Source organism: Homo sapiens, chromosome 13 (assembly GCF_000001405.40).
Source record: "Homo sapiens chromosome 13, GRCh38.p14 Primary Assembly".
In the NCBI taxonomy this organism is placed as follows: Eukaryota; Metazoa; Chordata; class Mammalia; order Primates; family Hominidae; genus Homo; species Homo sapiens.
In genome coordinates, this window is record NC_000013.11 from 30,565,234 (window position 1) to 30,584,881 (window position 19,648).

The 19,648-nt window shown below is 39.8% G+C and overlaps 1 protein-coding gene across 2 annotated transcripts in view, besides 3 other annotated features; it reads right to left on the bottom strand.

The window, feature by feature from the left end:
- Positions 1-19,648, bottom strand: part of HMGB1 (high mobility group box 1) — a 160,894-nt gene that overhangs the window by 108,530 nt on the left and 32,716 nt on the right.
- Positions 4,659-4,953: a silencer, noted in NCBI's record as "tiled region #3331; HepG2 Repressive DNase matched - State 9:DNaseU, and K562 Repressive non-DNase unmatched - State 9:DNaseU". NCBI's record gives its function as "represses a minimal TATA promoter and a strong SV40 promoter by Sharpr-MPRA in HepG2 and K562 cells {active_cell/tissue: HepG2 | K562}" and the evidence as "EXISTENCE:reporter gene assay evidence [ECO:0000049][PMID:27701403]".
- Positions 12,207-12,286: an enhancer, noted in NCBI's record as "active region_7536". NCBI's record gives its function as "activates an Ori minimal core promoter by ATAC-STARR-seq in GM12878 lymphoblastoid cells {active_cell/tissue: GM12878}" and the evidence as "EXISTENCE:reporter gene assay evidence [ECO:0000049][PMID:35858748]".
- Positions 12,507-12,566: a silencer, noted in NCBI's record as "silent region_5235". NCBI's record gives its function as "represses an Ori minimal core promoter by ATAC-STARR-seq in GM12878 lymphoblastoid cells {active_cell/tissue: GM12878}" and the evidence as "EXISTENCE:reporter gene assay evidence [ECO:0000049][PMID:35858748]".

Sequence of the window (19,648 nt, forward strand, 5' to 3'; positions counted from 1 at the left end):
TTTTGGCTCTGTGACCTACACAGGCAAGCTGTTATTTACAAACAACCCACACATCTAGATGGTCACTGTCTCACCGCCCACTTTTACCATCAGGACTCCTAGTGAGCTGTCAAGGGGAATGCTATAATTTTGGAGGTTCTAAATCTGAGGGCTTAAGAAAGAAAGAAATTGTAAAAAGCAGGCATTACTCAGGGGCATAGATTGTCAGGCAGATCTGTCATGCTTATAGGTAACCTCCCAGGGCCAAAAATATATGTGCCCAAACTGCCTAAATATTTCCTGTCACTTCATAATACTGCCTGAAATCCTGCCAAATTAGAACTTCATTTGTGTTGCTTGTCAATTTTTAACGCATAAGCAAATCACCTGGAGATCTTGTTAAAATGCAAATTCTGATTAGGTTAGGTCTGGGTCTGCATGTCTGATATGCTTCCAGAGGGCACTGATGCTGCTGGTCCATGGACCACACTTAAAGAAGCAAAAAAGATGTCTGATATTTACTCTCTGGCTGCCTAGGAGTGCTTCTCATTTAAGTGAGATCTCTTTGTGCATCATAATGGGAGGGATGAGCTGAAAAGCAGCAAATTAAGAGTGAGTTAAGTGTCTACCTCACTTCCCTACTATCTGTAACAAGCAGGTTTGGGCACTGTGGTCAACCAGAAAATTCTTTCCAGGACCACAACCCTTGAGATTATGTTGCAAAGATGCAAGGACAACTTAGAAATAATTTCCAGCACTGGTGGCACTGGATGTCTGTCAGTGGTGCTGGTGGCAGGGTCCTATTCAGACTGTGGTTTACCTGCCTGGCCCGTTTGGTTATGGGCCATTTTCTGAGTACCATGGAGCATCGCCCAGCTGACAAGGGCTTGTACTCCACCCTTGGTGCGCAGAAGGGAAGCTTGGCTGCTACTAAGTTTGGTGCAAAGTAATTGTGGTTTTGCCATTAATATTTGATACAGTGAGTCCCTACTTTCCTCAGGTGAAACTAGAACTTAAGGGGACACGCTCAAGTTCTCATTATACAGTACTAAGTTTCAAAAATCAGCAATTTTATCAAACACATGCTCTACAGCAGTGGTCGGCAAACTTTTTCTGTAAGGGGCCAGAGAGTAAATGTTTTAGAGTTTCTGGGCCACATATGGTTTCTGTTCCAGCTATAAACTCTGCCACTGTAGGGCAAAAGCAACCCTCCACAATACATACATGAATAGGTGTGTTCCAAAAAAACTTTATTTGTGGACCCTGAAATTTGAATTTCATAAACTTTTCATGTGTCATGAAATATTCTTTTGATTTTTTCCCAACCTTTTAAAGATGTAACAACCATTTTTAGCCTGTAGGCCATATAGAAACAGGCAGTGGGCTGGGTTTGCTGACCCTTGCTCTGAAGCAATGATATCTCGATCCAATTTATACCCACAAATTTTTCTCCTTGAAACCATGCATTTAATTCTCATCTCTTCTTACCATGACAATAAGAAGTTATTCTATATAACAAAGAGATTGTACCCACCCAAGCCAGCATTTAGATCATGTCATTTGCTTCCTCAAAATTTTGGTCTTTATAAAAATCAATTAAAGCACCTTAAAAGGTAAGCAGTGATGAAATATTTGAAATAATTGGCTAATTAAACATCACCTAAATAGAAACTGTGATAAGAACCACAAATGCGAAAAGGAATCATGTAGTAACTAATGTGGAGGATATCTTGGTTTAGAGATTTGATGAACACGAGTTTTGATTTAAAAAAATTTGTGCAATACTCACTGCTTTGGTGGGGAGCTTGCTATGCAAGTTGGTAGAAAAATTTATCCTAAAGTCACAGTTCTCTACCACTCTGGATTTTCTCGAGCTAACTACCATTCCAAACTATTTTAGGCACAGTTACTAGTTTCAAGAATCAGGCAAATTGCCCTGGTATTAGCACTGTTCTTTCTGTGGTCACAAGTCAAACTACTGTGGTGAATAAAATTAGATGATTTCTTTAGTCTTTCCTTTTTCAGCCCCTGTAGTCAATTTCCAGTGCTCCATTCAAAGAAAAACCAAAAATGTCCAGAATATAACCTTATTTTAAAACTTGTTAACCACTGATTTCACTTGTTAACCAAATTTTTTTTTTTTTTTTTTTGAGAATGAATCTCACTCTGTCACCAGGCTGGAGTGCAGTGGCATGATCTTGGTTCACTGCAACCTCCGCCTCCTGGGTACTGGTTCAAGCAATTCTCCTGCCTCAGTCTCCCGAGTAGCTGGGATTACAGGTGTGCACCCCCACACCCAGCTAATTTTTTTGTACTTTTAGTAGAGATGGGGTTTCACCATGTTGGCCGGGCTAGTCTTAAACTCCTGACCTCGTGATCCGCCCGCCTCGGCCTCCCAAAGTGCTGGGATTGCAGGCATGAACCACTGCGCCCAGCCTGTTAACCAAATTTCTAATCACACACACTTGAGGCCCAGTAAATGCCTGCTGAAAAGAGGGTGCTGGTGGTGAGGCAACTGAGGGGCTAACATACTGATAGCTGCTGAAATCTTCTACAGCTCTTTCTTGTTAGAACACTCCATCACGGCTCCCAGGCCCACACCACATGAAGGAACTTCTAGCTCTCTTGCTTGCTCTTTACCCAAATGTAGTTAGCAAGTCCTGGGAACTAAACAGCATTGACACACTTGAAGAAGACAATTAGGCAAATCCCAACTGCTGTGCTCCTGCAGCTAAAGATGAAGACTCGTCCATTGGGCAGTTGATTAATTGTACCTAGAAAATTAATTTCAATGGTCCCATGACAACATACGGGCAGTGAAGCTCTAGTGTTCCCCCTGGGTGGAATCTTCCAGGATGTATAGTCTCCCATACCAGCTCATCCTCCCATTTTTCCAGATTCTGGTTCTTCTCTCTTACCTAGTGTGTAGTGGGCCAAATGGTGGTCCCCCAAAAAGATATGTCCATGTGTTAACCCTGGAAACTGTGGATGTAACCTTATTTGGAAAAATGGGGCCAGGTGCAGTGGTGTGCATGTGTAGTCCCAGAACTTTGAGAAGCCAAGGTGGGAGAATCGTTGGAGCCCAGGAGTTCAAGAACAGCCCAGGCAACATATTGAGACCCCCGTCTCTATAAGCAATAAAAAATTAGCTAGGTGTGGTGGCATGCACCTGAAGTTCCAGCTACTTGAGAGGCTGAGGCAGAAGGACTGCTCAAGCCCAAGGAGTTCAAGGCTGCAGTGAGCTATGATCATGTCACCCCACTCCAGCCTGGGTGACAGAGTCAGACTCCCTGTCTCAGGAGAAAAGAAAAAAAGGTCTTTGTAAATGTAATAAAGAATCTTGAGATAAGATCATCCTGATTTAGGATGGACCCTAAATCCAATGACATTTGTCCTTACAAAAGAAAGGTAGAGGGAACTGTGAGACAGACACAGAGGGGAGGGCCTTGTGAAGCAGGAAGCATAGATGCAGTTACAAGTCAAGGAATGCCAAGGACTGTCTACAACCAGAAGCCAGGAGAGATGCATGGGATGATTTCTCCCTCACAGCCTCCAGAACTTCTGGCCTCCAGGACTGTGAAGAATCAATTTCTGTTGTTTTAAGCCACCAAGTTTGTGTGTCATTTGTTATGGCAATGGCAGTATTAGGACTCTAATACACAGTATAAAAAAATAAAAATAGGGCCAGGCGTGGTGGCTCAGACCTATAACCCCAGCACTTTGGGAGGCTAAGGCGGGGAGATCACTTGAGGTCAGGAGTTTGAGACCAACCAGGCCAACATGGTGAAACCCCATCTCTATTAAAAATAAAAATTAGTTGGGCATGGTGGTGTGCATCTGTAATCCCAGTTACTCAGGAGGCTGAGGCAGAAGAATCGCTTGAACCCAGGAAGTGGAGGTTGTAGTGAATGCCACTGCACTCCAGCCTGGGTGACAGAGCTAGACTCCTTCATCCTAGGACACAGCCAAGTCTTACGTAGCAAAAAGAAGTTGTTAAAGGTCTGTAGTTCTGCATTAAGCAACACAGGCATGTACCTATGAATTATATGATTATAAAAGTGCTCGGACAGGCCCATTTCAAACTTGGCCTCTTTCCACCAACTGTGTACTGTTTCTCATTCCATAACTAGAGATTATGTCTTTATATCCTGTCAAAAAAGTGAATTTTTGTGGGCTAAGACATTATCCCTGTGTTAAATGCACCAGTCTTAGTGTAAACAAGCCTAGTTCCTTTTTCATTTTGGCTGTCTAGTATGCATTTGTATATGCTAGGCAGTGTACTAGGCACCTTAAATACATTACCTTGTTTAACCTCTACAGGATTCTGGGAGGTAGGCATTATCCCCATTTTATAGATGAGAACACTGAGAAGACAATGTTCATAAGTGCGTCACTTGTCTGAGATGACATATTTACTAAGTAGCAGAACCAGGCCTCGAGCTACTCAGTCTGATTTCCAAAGCCCCTGCTCTTAATCACATCAACTTCTTTCCTATATCACCTTTCCCAGAGTGCGCTCTCATGGATAAAGAGCAGAAGTATAAGTTACTAGGCAGCAGAAAACTGTAGAGGTGGGAAGATTAGATAAAAAATGTAAATAAGAAGGCTTTAAGACACCAAAATCAAATGTAAATACTTTATAACCTGAATCAGTGCTTGTGTTCATGAGGCTAGAGGTCGTGCATTTTATCTCTAGGTCTGGTGATGCCAATCCTGATCTACAGCCAGCAGCAACAGTTCCCTAGCCTGCCTAGAAGTTTGTAAATGCATGGGCTTTGGTAGGAGGAAGACGAGAGAAAGCAGAACAGATTATTACAAACCCAGTGCATTCCCCCTTGATGGGTCAACAGCGATTTCTTTGTAAGTGAAGGACAGCACACTGGTTTTGATGACTCACGAGAGAGTAGGAGGGAAAAAGAAGTCTGAGGCATTGCCTGGAAGCCTCGCTCTGCTTAAACAAGTACACTAATGGCTCATGCCTGTTACTCCCAGCACTTTGGAAGGCCAAGATGGGTGGATCACTTGAGGCCAGGAGTTTAAGCCCAGCCTGGTCAACATAGCGAGACCTTTTCTCTATTAAAAATAAAGAAGAAAGAAAGTAATAATGATTCAAGTTCTCATTCTCTACAAAATTCACTTATGACTTTCCAAATGCTAGTGAAAACTTTTAGGTATTGCAAAACTGCCTTAATGCATAACGGGATTCTCATTTTACTTAGTCTAAGATGACTTTTTCACTTTGAACTTCTGCATCTTTATGATCGCTTAGCTTTCTGACAAGCAATTTCAGTAAGTGTTTATCAATTTGCATCCACACGCTGACACATAGGGGTCTACTTACATATCCTTCATGTAATTGAGCTTTTGTAAATCATCTTTCTACATGGTACACTTCTGATTTTGTGTGCAGCTTTCTTGTTTAAGCACTGTATTAAATGCTCTGCTTCCTACACCCTTAGGAACAATGAGAATAAAAGCGTAATGTTGGTTACTTCTTCATATCAAAGGAAGTTCATCTCCTGGTTATTAAAAGCTATTATTAAATGGCCATCTTTTTGTGCCCCTGTGTTAAGCACTCTACCAAGATACCATTAAATAGATAAGGGCCACACTCCATAGAGATGATGGTTCTATATTCTGTATTTTCTGGGGGAGTTCTAATTTCATGCAATTCCTTCTTCTTAAATAAAGGCAATTCTCTAAATATATTACCTAATGTGCTTTCACTTTCATATTCTTGTAAGATTTTTCACATAAATCAATTCTCAAAAAATAGTATCATAGGCCTTTTAAAAATAGTCATGTTCAAAAGTCAGGCTCATGAATAAATGTGTGCATTCATTACATATATTTTCATAAATTCAAATTTAAAAGAATAAGAGTAGCTAGAAGGTGGAAGAAAAATCTTATTCTGATTAGGAATGCACAATCACAAGAAAATTTGTGATATATATAGTCATTTTATTCTGTATTGTTTTATTTTGATTTTGGTAAGACAAGAAACAATGTAGAAAGTTTGACAACTTAAAAAAGTAATATGAGTGTGAGAAAGTCCTCTTCCAGGATTAGCAAAAAAATGGTTTTTTTTTTTTTTTTTTCCGAGATGGAGTCTCGCTCTCTCGCCCAGGCTGGAGTGCAGTGGCGCAATCTTGGCTCACTGCAACCTCCGCCTCCCGGGTTCAGGTGATTCTCTTGCCTCAGCCTCCCAAGTAGCTGGGACTACAGGCATGTGCCACCATGCCCGGCTAATTTTTTTTATTTTTAGTAGAGACGGGGTTTCACCATGCTGGCCAGGCTGGTCTTGAACTCCTGACCTTGTGATCTGCCCGCCTTAGCCTCCCAAAGTGCTGGGATTACAGGCGTGAGCCACCGTACCCAGCCTAAATGGCCAAGTTTTATTATGGACAATTAAGCTGTAGAATAAAAATCTACTTTTAATAGCTGGCATAGTGCCTAGTGGTTTTGAAGCCACAAGCAGGTTTACAAAAAACATTTAAATCCATCTGAATCTACAGAAAACTAAGATTACCTAAGCAGAAAATGAAAATAGTTCAGGATTAAGGAAGATTAACAAATGAAGAGTATATGTATTTTAGAAGTATTACTTTATATTTTTATAGTATAATAATAATATTTACGTTCCTACACTTATAATGAGTTTCGTATATATATTAAAATAATTTAATGGATTAGTATGTTTATATTTGCTTTTAGTAAATTTGGTGTATGATAAACTCAGTTGTCTACATTGTGAGACTACACCTGAGGCAATTTCTGTGTTGATATATACCTGAATAGCAGATATTACTTGGGAGCAAATAAAATAGCTTCAGGCCTAATTTTGCAAGTTCATGATGGGAGAGTAAGCATGACTTCAAAGAACTGACTTTGAGTTAAAACTTGAAGAATGAATGTGACAACAGCAAGTATAAAACAATGCCAGGCAGAGGTGGGACTGTTCATGGGTATCAGGGTAAGTGTGTTGATAAATGCTCAAAGTAGGAAATACCTTTCTTCCCCCACACATGTCAGAAAATAACTGCAATAGAATGCAACGACATCTCAGAGATAAAGTGTTCAACTTAGCTCTCAGAGACCGTTCAGTTACATTTTGTAATGACATTGGAATTGATTGCATTTTGAAGGCAATTCTAAATGCAAAGTCTTCATTTTGTTGATAGAAGCTGGGTTATTTATTATGAAATTTCAAAAATTAAGTAAAATATCTAATTAGGATTATACCAGCAAAGGCAAATTTAGAATTCAAGACTTCATGATCCATGGTAAGATTATTTTAATGCAACTCTGCTAATTAACTGAAATTTCCTTTAACTCTCACATCTGCCTTTTACTTCTTAAGACATTTTTCTAGTATTTCACCAGAGCAAGATATCAGAAGGGTAAATCTCTTACCAATGAACTTTGCTAATTCTTAGTGACTCCGTTGACCCTGGTGTAAGGATCAGGAACAAAGTGAATGAAATACATTTTAATACATTTCTGCTTTCTCTAATTCCAAAGACCACTCTAAAGAATAAGTTATTTGTGGGTATTATCTGAAACTTGGGATTAAAAGAGACCGTGATTACCCTTCAGGGATTTTGGCAAAACTTAAGCCATTTCATCTGAAGAGCAAAGCAAGCCTCCCACACTCTTGGCTTATTCTCACAATTATCTAGATATCTAGCAACAAAACTCTTGAGTAGTTTGTTAACTACAGATGCCAAGGGCTGACAGTTTCACTTTCAGTTTTCAGAATATCTTTTGTTTCAGTGGTGTAAGCACACCATCAGAATCTCTACTATTTAAAATAATTAAGTTATAATTGTAACTTCCATTAGATGTAGTACTTAAAGGAATCTAGAAGACACAACTCATTAATTATAGGAATTTGACTGCAAATTCTTCTGGGGGGTCTGAATTGCAAAGGAGGCATCTTTGTAAGTCAGACTCAACTCATTACTCTGTGATGCAGGCTCCTCCAAATGGCAGCAGAAACGTATTACTCTCTAGAAACACTACAGTAGTGCTACAATTTCAGGGTTCTGTAGAGATAAGGACAAATTGACAGAAACACATTCTTAGAAGGACAGTATCATTTAAAATAAAAATACTGTCATAATTGTACACCAGGATAGCTTCTCCATAATAAATTCTTTATGATTTTCTGATTTTTAGAAATCAGAATTGAACTTTTTAATGTGAAAAAAATGAGAGAATTGTTTCAAAATAGGACCACATTTCTGTGTATAATTTTAAAAGTTTAAAAATATTTGATTAGTAGACTGATAAACTGAAACATTTTTGATAAGCTTTTCATTACATACAAACCATATAATTTGTAAAAAATTGGAAATTATTCAAAACTTCACATAACTAAAGTGACCAAATAAATACTGGAGAGGAAAGAAAAGGAGTCAAATGAATCTAGCATTTTCTTTTTTTTTTTTTTTTTGGAGAAAGGGTCTCACTGTGCCACCCAGGTGGGAGTGCAATGGCACGATCATGGCTCACTGCAGCCTCAACTTTATGGGCTTAGGTGATCCTCCCACCTCGGCCTCCCAAGTAGCAGGGACTACAGGCATGCGCCAACACGTCCAGCTAATTTTTTTGGTATTTTTTGCAGAGACGAGGTTTCACCAGGTTGCCGTGGCTGATCTGGAACTCCTGGTCTCAAGTGATCTACCCAACTCAGCCTCCCAAAGTGCTGGGATTACAGGCGTGAGCCACCGCACCCGGCCTAATCTAGCATTTTCTAAAAGGAAGGACCCAGCAGTGAACGGCAATATCAATAATCATGTTCAAGACTATCAGACATGCAAGCTGGGGATGAATGGGTGGAAGGGGAAAATGATGAATAAATGATGAACACAAGTATAGACCCAGTGGATTTGAGATGCCCAAGATGCCAGTGAGATATTCAAAGTTTAACTCAAAAGCCACTTCCCATATGAAATCCTGACAAACACTCCTACGTCCAACTGGAATTAATTTCTCTTCTGGGCTCCCACAGCACTCTGTATTTTTCTAATAGCATAACACTATTTTGTTTGTAGATATTTCTCTGATAGCATTACTATCTTTCCTCTTTATCACAACTGTTTGAAGTTCTTTTGCCTCTTGCATCCACTGTTGCCCAATCCCACTGCTGGAAGGCTCATCTTATTAAGTTCTGTATTCCTAGTGCTAACACACTGTCTACCATAGATGATGTTCAATAAATGGTTGCTAAATGAATTCTCTTGTGATAATAGCACTATGGCAACATAATCGACGGTAAAAATTTCTTCTCAATGTTTACTTTTAGCAGAATGCATTCATTTATCAACTTTCATTGAGAATATGCTAATTTCCATGACCCTGCTAGGAAATAGGAAAATAAAGATGAATGTAATAAGGTGCTCATTCTACTGAAAGTCTTGACTAGTGGAGAATTATGGATCCAACTTTTCATGAAATGCCTTCAGTGGTAAGAATTCTCATATTTGGAATAAAAAATGTTATGGGTTGTGCCAAGATACCTACATACTTCATAATTTTGTAGAGGGCTGTCCTTACTGCAGAAATGTATACTACTATAGTCATATGTGGAAATTCTTTTTATGATGCTAACTGCATGCTAACCAGACTTTTTAATTTAATACTTGCATTAAATAAACCATGCTAGGAATCCAGGAATCTAGCTTGGTTTATTTTCCATACAATGTACTCTTTGTAATATGCATATACTACATAAAAATTCTATTAATGGCCTCGTACTAAAGATGTGTCTGTTGGGGAATCAGTTATTCTGTATAATTTTATCTTAATTGATATATTAAAATCTACCAAAAATATAAACTCCGAGTAAAAGTATCTGCATGGTGTGCATATGTTTATTATTTTAAGTGTCAGCGTATACATTTTCATGCCATAAAGTTATAAAATGAAAAAATAGTAGCCTTTTATATTAAGTTCATGCTTATGTAGTTAGTAAAAACAAGAAAGCAATTAACATACAAACCATGATGGTGGTTAAACTTGCTTCAGTTTGTGTTTTTTAAAATTTGAAAGTGAGAAATACAGCTCGAAGTCAGCTCATATTTTCAGTAAGTACTGATGAGGATGTACTGGCCCTATTGACTACGCTGACCCCATTAAAATATTTGTGAGTCTAAAGGTTCATATGACGCTGTTCCTTCACTCTAGCAACAGGCCATACATGTCTTACATAGGGACTCTGTTCAATTCATTAATACCTCCTGAAGTGCTCAACATCGTGGTTCATTTATAGTAGATACTCAATACATACTCCATTAACTGAATTCTAAGATAAACTGTCTGTTACTGACAGAAATTTTCACTTAAGGGAGTCTCCGTGGCTGAAGGCAATTTTGAAATCCTGTAAAAGAACCCACTCCTCTCCCCAAGTAATGAAGTTTGTCAGTTTCAAGCCTGTAATAAGGTACTGACTTAAAATTAATTTTCTAATAATACAGTACTGCTATGTATCTAATGTGGGGTTAGTCAATGATAGGAAAAAAACATAAGACAGAGTCACATTTAAAAATGTGTGCTTAGGTGCATGGTGACACCTGCCTGTAGTCCAGCTATTCCAGGGGCTGAGGCAGGAAGATCCCTTGAGCTCACGAGTTTGAGGCTGCAGTAAGCCACTGCACTCAGCCTGGGCAACAGAGTGAGACCCTGTCTCTAAAAAAAATTCGTTTTAAGTGTGCTCAGGACATAACAGGAGCCGCTGGTAACATGCCATTTCCACTGTGAATATGGTAAGGACAGAATCCCTGTCTCTAGGCCCTCTTCCACTAGTCAATCTCATCATCACCATCAAGGCCAACATTGGTATTCTCTCCTCTGAGACAAAGTCTTTGACATTTTCTATACTATACTATGTCTTCCTCTCCCCAAATGCATATACAAATAAAATTTGAATGCTTCTTTCTCCATTTAGTGTAATTTTTTTTATAACATAGACCCAATTTTCAAACCCCACAATGGTGGATTTTATTTGATGTATTGTAAAAAGCGCTGGATTGAAGTCAAATGGCTTGGGAGACCTAAATTCTACTCCTGCCTGTACCATGAAAGAGACAAATCCCAAGGCTTTGCAGGGCTTCAGCTTCCTTGTTTGTAGAATAAAGAATTATAAAATCATCTCTTTTGGTCCTACTGGGCAATAAAAAGCTATGATTCTAAGCCTGTTCCCTTTTCTCACCTAAGAATACAAATTTGATACAAAGAGGCCGCAGAATGTGTCAAACACTCCCTGTTGCCTGGAATTCTCTCTTCCTTTGGGTTCAGGGATAAAGGTATGTTATTTCTTAAGTCTCCCTTTGCTTTCTTCTGCTTGCCTCGTAAATATTTTTCCATCTTGGCAGTCCTACATGTCTTCTCACTCTACATGTTTTCCCTAGGTGATGTGACCCAGCCTGTGGCTTCCACTGCCATCCACACACGTCGCTGCCTCTCTCCACATCAGCATCGCAACTATCTCCTGGAAGCTTTCCAAGTGCTGAACTACAGTAACCTCAACCGAACTGCTGTTCATTCACCCCACAGGCTTGCCCCTCCTCTGCATCTTTGTGAGAACCTGAGAGTCATCCTAAACTCCTCCTTCCACCTCACTCCCCACATCAAATCGATTACCAACTTGTGCTGATTTTATCTTCAAATACTCTCCAGAATTGTCGCTGTCATGGACTGAATATTTGTGTTCCCCCAAATTCATATGTCCTAATCCCTGATGTGACTGTATTTAGAGACGTGACCTCTAAGGAGTAATTAAGGTTCAGTGAGGTCAAAGGTGGAGCCCTGATCTGATAGGATCAGTGTCCTTATAAGAAGAGACTAGAGCTGGGCACAGGGGCTCACACCTGTAATCCCAGTATTTTGGGAGGCTGAGGTGGGAAGATCACTCAAGGAGAGGAGTCTGAGACCAGCCTGGGCAACAGAGTGAGACTCCATCTCTACAAGAAAATAAAATAGTCAGACACAGTGGTACACACCTGTGGTCCCAGCTCCTCAGGAGGCTGAGGCAGGAGGATGGCTTGAGCCCAGGAATTTGAGGCTGCAGCAAGCTATGATCACACCTCTGCACTCCAGCCTGGGTGACAGCATGAGACCCAGTCTCTTTAAAAAAAAAAAAAAAAAAGGCCATATATAGCCCAGAAGAGCGTCCTCACCAAAACCCAATCCTGATAGCACCTGGAGGACTTCCAGCCTCCAGAGCTGTGAGAAAATTTCTGTTGCTTGCACCGCCCAGTCTGTGGTATTTTGCTGTGGCAGCCCAAGCTGACTCATCAGTGACCTTCTCTCTGTTACCGCAGAGTAGCTCATCATCCTCTCTTCCCTAGAGTCCAGCCACTCTCTCACATCTACCTACCTAGCAGTATCACTGTGGGTTAGAGTCAGATCACTGCGGATTAAGTCCTCATTCTGCCACTGCCTGTGTAAATCTGAGCAAGTTACTTAATCTCTCTGTGTGTCAGTAACCTCCCTGTGAAATGAGGCTAATAATAGCAGGGTTGTTTCAACAAGGCGATACATGCATAATGCTTACAACACAGCTTGGCACATTATAAGCATTCAACGAAAAGTGAGCTACTATTATCTCATCCGTTATCAGAATAAACCACCTAAGCCACAAGGCTGCCCACATCATCCTCATGTTTTAAAACACTTCAGTGGGCTCCCCACCATCAACAGGATAAAGTCCAAGCTTCCTTAGCATTTCTTAGAGGCTCCATATGAATCCCCAAGTTCCACTACAGGAACACAGGTGAACTTTCCACTCCAACCTCAGGCTCCTTCGTGTCACTCCTCATCCACATGGAGGTAAGCAGCAAGAGACTCCGTGCAGTTCCTGGTGGTTCCCTGACCCTCAGGCAGACTCTCCCCAGCCCTCTGCCTGCAACGTCCTTGCCCTTTGCTTCCCTTGGCCAGCTCCCATTCATTCTCCTTGATTCTGCTTGGAAGTTTCCCTCTCAGGAAGGCTTTATGAACCTTAGTGTAGGTTATGAACCCATCTTTGCTCCTTTCATACCTTTTGCAAGCCTTTATTTATTATGACACTTAACCATTATCATACTGAAGTGACCTGTTGGTGTGTCTTTGTTCCCCACTAGACAGAAAACTCAAGATCAGAGACCAGTTCTTGTTCTTTTTTTTTTTTTTTTTTTTTTTTTTTGTATCACAGTGTTTAGCAGCCTGCTATATGGTAAATGTCAGTAAATGTTCCACAAACTGAATGGAATTGAGCTCTGGAATCTAGACCATCTTTTCCATACCCATCACTCCTGTCTTAGTTGAAGTCCTTATTTCCCATTTGAAGCAATGCAAAGGATTTCCTAACTCTAATCTCTCTTTTCTTCACACCATCCTTTAAACAGCCGACAGAATGGTCATCCTAAAGCACATATATCCTATCTTACATATCCTAGATTCGGAACCTCTCTGGGCTTCTCACCATATAAGAAGAAAGTCTAACCTCCTTAGCAAGGTGCATAGGTCTTCAATGGGCTCCACCTCACTTCTCTATATATACCTATACTCTTGCTACACTAAACTTCTTTCTTACTGTTGCTGGAACAAGTTCAACGCTTTCAAACCTCCCTGACTTTGCATATGCAGTTCATTCTGTCAGGAATGCCCTTCTCTCTTATGCCTGGGATATTCTCATTCATTCCATATGACCTATTTCATAAGTCACTCCTTAATGAAGCCTTTCTTAGATATCCACTGGGGCAATCAGCTGCTTGCTCCTGTTTCCACAGCACATTGTTCACACAGATAGCACAGGACTTACCACAAGTTATTATAATTTTGTCTGTCTTGCCCATTTGAATCCAAGGGCAAGGACGGAATCATTCTCATCTTTGTATGTCCTGGGAACTAGAACTGTACCTGAGACATAATAAACACTTGATATGTTTGTAATTTTTAAATAAGTTAATGAACGGAATGGCTAGAAAAAGTGAGAAGAAACTCTGGCTTACTGTATATCATACTGTCATACTAAAAATATATACTGAAGACAGAATCACATTATATCATCACTTTTCACGCTATAGGCCATGATCCATTATGAAAAAGAGGATAGTAAAAAAATCACAGGGCACAATTTTTGTTTCTGTCACACACATGTGTACCTGTATATTGGACTGGAATGTAAAACGCATGTTCCATTGTAGAACGTGGTTTTAAAAGAGGCTTGGAAAACACTGCATATGGTCATTTCTTAGTTTAGTACAATTTATTATTTTCGTAATAACCTCAGCTATAATATAAGTCTACCATGAAGCATTTTGGGGAGATTAAATGAGATGTGAAAAGTAAATGTGTTAGATAGACTGAATTCATATCATAGCTTGCTCTGATACTTTACAAAACATTTAACCTTACCCACAAGTTTTAGTTTCCTCACTAAAGTCACCCTGAGGACAGTAATGGGATCTTCCTCACAGAGTATTGTGAGGAATACATAAGAGAACGTACGTAAATGCCTGGCACTTAGTATTTATTCAATAAATCTTAGCAATGATGATGATAACAACATGGTACCTGGCACATAAGAGAGTTAAAAATTAGTTTCTTCAGTCAAATGTGCTTACATTGATAGTTGATACTAACTGGGGTTAAAAGGTCATTGCTGGCATCTCAGAAAGATAGATTACAGTGAAATAAAAAATGACTACTGCTTAAAATGAATGAAGACTTATTTACAAAGTCATGTTCATCTGGTACAATAATGAAGTCGCTCAATTGGGAGAAAATGACAAATAATACAAGTGAATATACAATCTTACTTAAGACGAAAGAAATAGGACACCAGGCTAACTATCAGTCTCCTAAACCACAACTTTATTTCTGATACAAAGAGACAGTGAGACAATCAGGGCTTCCCTCAAATAAATTACTTAATCTCTCTTCAATTCAGTTTTGCATCTGTAAATATAAATAACTACAATTTCACAGTATTTCCATTTAAAAAGTTCTAGTGCAACATCAGAAACAAGAACTTAGTAGGTGTTCAAAAAGAAATATAAGTTCTGCTTTGTTAGCCAGCAAATAGTTGCCTGTTTCTAGCCCTCACTTCTTTTCTCCTAAATCCCTATATTGCATTTATTTAACTTAAAGTGCTGGATGTGGCACTACGAGAAAGAAAAAGATATTTGGTAATCTTGTTAAAATCATTAGACATCCCAGGCTATCTGGAATCACCTTGGGCTCACAGTTAGACATCAGCTATGGCTTGTTTTATTTAAAAATTCATCCACTGATGCATGATAATGGAATTCACAGGAGAGCAATTTACCAAAAAAAAGAAATTTATTGATTTATAATGTGAGATATTAATTTAGCCACAAATATTTATTGAGCATCTCCTACATGCCAGGGAATGGACTATATATGGCAGGAAAACAGATACCAATCATTTATATCAGGCATTTTTTTCTAATAGAAGGATATTCGCAGGAGACAATGCATAGCACCATGCCTTGCACGTAACAGACATTTAATAACTATTAGTTGAATAAAATTGGAGACTAGAATGATACATAAAGAGGCAAGAAAGAGCAAAGATAAGCCTTTCTGAGAATTTCTATCATGTTTTGCTCAATAGCTTGTCTTTATCCACTGCTTGTATTTTTCCATGTAGCTAATCCTCATTGGTCGTTAGAATTGAGACACCCTTTCCTTGAAATCAGGAGCTATAGGAGGCCATTCTTCCTACTGGGCATTTTCTTTCTGGGACAGGGTCTCACTCTGTCACCTAGGCTGGAGTGCATCATAGCTCACTATAACCTTGAAGTCCTGGGCTCAAGGAATCCTCTTGCCAAAGAGGTGGGATTACAGGCATGAGTCACCATGCCAGCCTATTTGGCATTTCTACTGTAGACAAAGCAGACTTACAGCAGTAGGTCTACCTGCCTAATACAAAAAGAAAAAAAAGAATTTTAACAAACAAATGAGGGAATCAGATCCAGAAAGTGATTCTTATAACTTAGATTACTTAGAGTAGATCTATAATCTGCTCTAGATCCACTGCATACAGTGGGCCCTTCTTATCATATTCCATAAATAGCACTTTTCTCAGCCCAGCTTTTGATGATAGCTGAACAGACTAACAGTTTGTCTAACAAAGGCTAGAGAAGGGGATAGCAAATAATGGCCCACAGGCTGAATCCTGCCTGCTGCTCATTTTTGCAAAGTTTTATTAGAATACGGTCATTTCCACTCATTTTCACACTGTCAATGGCTGCTTTTGCGCTACAGCAGCAGAGCTGGGTGGTTGGGGCAGGGGTCACATGGCTAACAAAGACTAAAATACTTATCATCTGACCTTTTACAGAAAGTTTGCTGATCCTTGGAGTGTACAAGTATTCTATATTGTTGATTAAGAACAGAACCACAAGTATTAGAAGTTAGACCAGCAGGTGGTAAAGCTGATCATCTACTAATATAATGGAAATTGGGGTTCCCAATCAGGACTCTTGCTTTGATAGAAGGCCATCTTAACGAGGAGGGAGACACCTGCAGGCAAAGTCAGAATTTTCTGCAGGAAAAGTTTTGAGTCCATTTCCCCTTGTGAACAAGTGCTCAGCTATGCATTTCATCTTTAGTAACCATGCTTCTATACCTGGTTCTCCTTGGCAAAGATTTCTTTCTTCAGTAAGTCTCAAGACTTTCTGGGAAGGTAGGGAGATATGGGGGTAAAAGTGTCCCAGGACTTACTGAAGGAAGTGTTTTATGATTATCTGATAGAATCACTGTATCATGGTAGAGAAGGCAAACAGAATATAATCTGAAAATAGAGGTGAGGGTGAACAAATGGGCACTAAAAGTGAACTCAGCATCAGGAAGGTAGCAAAACAAGACATCAGTCAAAGATATGGGGTGATTCAGACCTAAGGAAGATTTAATGTGGGATGTTTCCGTGTGCCAGGAGCTGGACACTTAAGCAAGAGGAGATCCAGGAATGTTGCTAAAACCATGGCCTCCATACTTTATTGGAATTAGCACAACTTATCCTTGTTTCTTTCATTTTGCAATCAAAATCTTTAAAAACACATTATTTAAAAATACATTATTTTAAAAGCTAGAATGAAAATTATGATATCATTTAGGTGGTTTAAAAAACATCCACCAGCCGGGCGTGGTGGCTCATGCCTGTAATCCCAGCACTTTGGGAGTCCGAGGCGGGCAGATCACGAGGTCAGGAGATTGAGACCATCCTGGCTGACACGGTGAAACCCCGTCTCCACTAAAAATACAAAAAATTAACCGGGCGTGGTGGCGGGTGCCTGTGGTCCCAGCTACTCGGGAGGCTGAGGCCGGAGAATGGCATGAACCCGGGAGGTGGAGGTTGCAGTGAGCTGAGATCGTGCCACTGCACTCCAGCCTGGGTGACAGAGCAAGACTCCATCTAAAAAAAAAAAACAAAAACCATCCACCAAAATGGGAAGAAGTGATGAAAAATTACAGTCCAAGAAGAAGGGCCATAGCTGTTTAAATCAATTGGTATATTTGTTATCTAATATAACCCCACGTAACGACAGGTATTTAACAAATGTTTCTGCTGAATTTGACGATTCCATTTCCCTTACATCCCATATGCAATCCATCAGCACCCCACATCCAACCCATCAGTACATCCTGTCAGCATTGGCTCCCAAATATAACCTAAATCTAACACATATCCTACTATCTCTGCTGCTACAACTTTAGTCTGAAATCTCATAATCTCCCACTTGTACTACTGTAGATGACTCTGAATGAGTCTTCTTGCTTCCATTCCACACAGCATCCATACTGATCTATTTTTTTTTTCAATTTTTTGTAGAGACGGGGTCTTGCCATGTTGCCCAGGCTGGTCTTGAACTCCTGGCTTCAAGGGATCCTCCCACCTCAACCTCCCAAAGTGATAGGATTTCAAGTATGAGCCACTGTGCCTAACCCTGACTGATCTTTCTAAGCATAAATCTAATAATGCCCCTTCCTTGATTAAACCCTTCAATGAATTCACATTAAGCAAACAACCTGGCCAGGTGTGATGGTTCATGCCTGTAATCTCAGCACTTTGGGAGACCAAGATGGGAGGATCACTTGAGGCCAGGAGCTCAACATCAGCTTAGACAACATGGTGAAACTACATCTCTACAAAAAATACAAGAATTAGCTGGGCATGGTGGTGCACCTATAGTCCCAGCTACTCGGGCGGCTGAGCTGGGAGGATCACTTGAGCCCTGGAGGTCAAGGCAGCAGTGAGCTGTGATTATGCCACTACACTTCAGCCTGGATGAAGTGAGACCTGGTCTCCAAAAAAAAAAAAAAAAAAAAAAAGAAGCAGGGCAAGGTGGCTCACACCTGTAATCCCATCACTTTGGGAGGCCAAGGCAGGCCTCCTGGATCATGAGGTCAAGAGATCGAGACCATCCTGGCCAACATGGTGAAACCCCATCTCTACTAAAAATACAAAAATTAGCTGGGCATGGTGGCATGCACCTGTAGTCTCAGGTACTTGGGAGGCTGAGGCAGGAGAATTGCTTGAACCCGGGAGGCGAAGGTTGCAGTGAGCCAAGATTGCCTGGTGACAGAGCGAGCGAGACTCTGTCTCAAAAAAAAAAAAAAAAAGAAAGAAAGAAAGAAAGAAAGAAAGAAGAAATCCTTAGTCCTGTCTTAACTACTTGAGAGGCTGAGGGAGGAGGATCACTTGAACCTAGGAATTTGAGGCTCCAGTGAGCTATGACAGCACCACGGTGCTCTGGTCTGGAGAGAGTGAGACCTTGTCTCTAAAGAAGAGAAAAGAAAAGAATGAATGAATGAACAAAAAGAAAGAAGGAAAGGAAAAGAAGAGAGAGAGAGAGAGAGGAAGAAAGGAAGGAAGGAAACAAAATAAAATAAAATAATAAATAAATAAACCCAAATCCAACTTCTTTACCCTAATCAACAAGGCTCAAATAATCTCATGCCAACTAAGTCTCTGAACAGCTCCTTCCATTCTATTGCCAGATTACTCCATCTTTCAGCCACAAGACCTTTTTATCTTCCTTTTACCAGCCAAACACAATCCTACCTCAGAACATGTGCACTTTTTCTTTTCTCTGACTTGAATCTCCTCCACCCATTATATAATCTTAGCTCAAAGAGGCTTTTCTTGACAACTTAGCGAAAGTATTTATCCCAGTCATTCTCTGCTACATTATTCCAATTTATTTTCTCCATAGTACATTTCAGCACATAAAGATTTCCTTAGTATGTGCTTGTTGCCTTTCCCCAACCTCCTAAAATGTCAGCATTCCTTGAGGGCAGAGACTGTTTCATTCCTGTATCATCAGCACCTAAGACAGTTCCTGGAACATACCAAGTACTTAATAAAAATTTGTTTATTGACTAGCTATGACACATTTTACTTATATAATTTCATTTTCTCAGCAAAATGAACACTTTGAAATGTAATTAATTACTGATTTTTGCAGTATTTTCTAATTATTTAAATAAAATATTTACTATTTTGGTCAACCAGAATTCTTACATTGTTTTAGCACCCAGATAGCTTCTAAAAATGCTTACAATTAACACAATTTTATCTAGCAATATGTATTTATCACTAGACAGAATGCACTGAACTCTTCTTCATTAATAAAAAGCAATCCAGGCTGGGTGCAGTGGT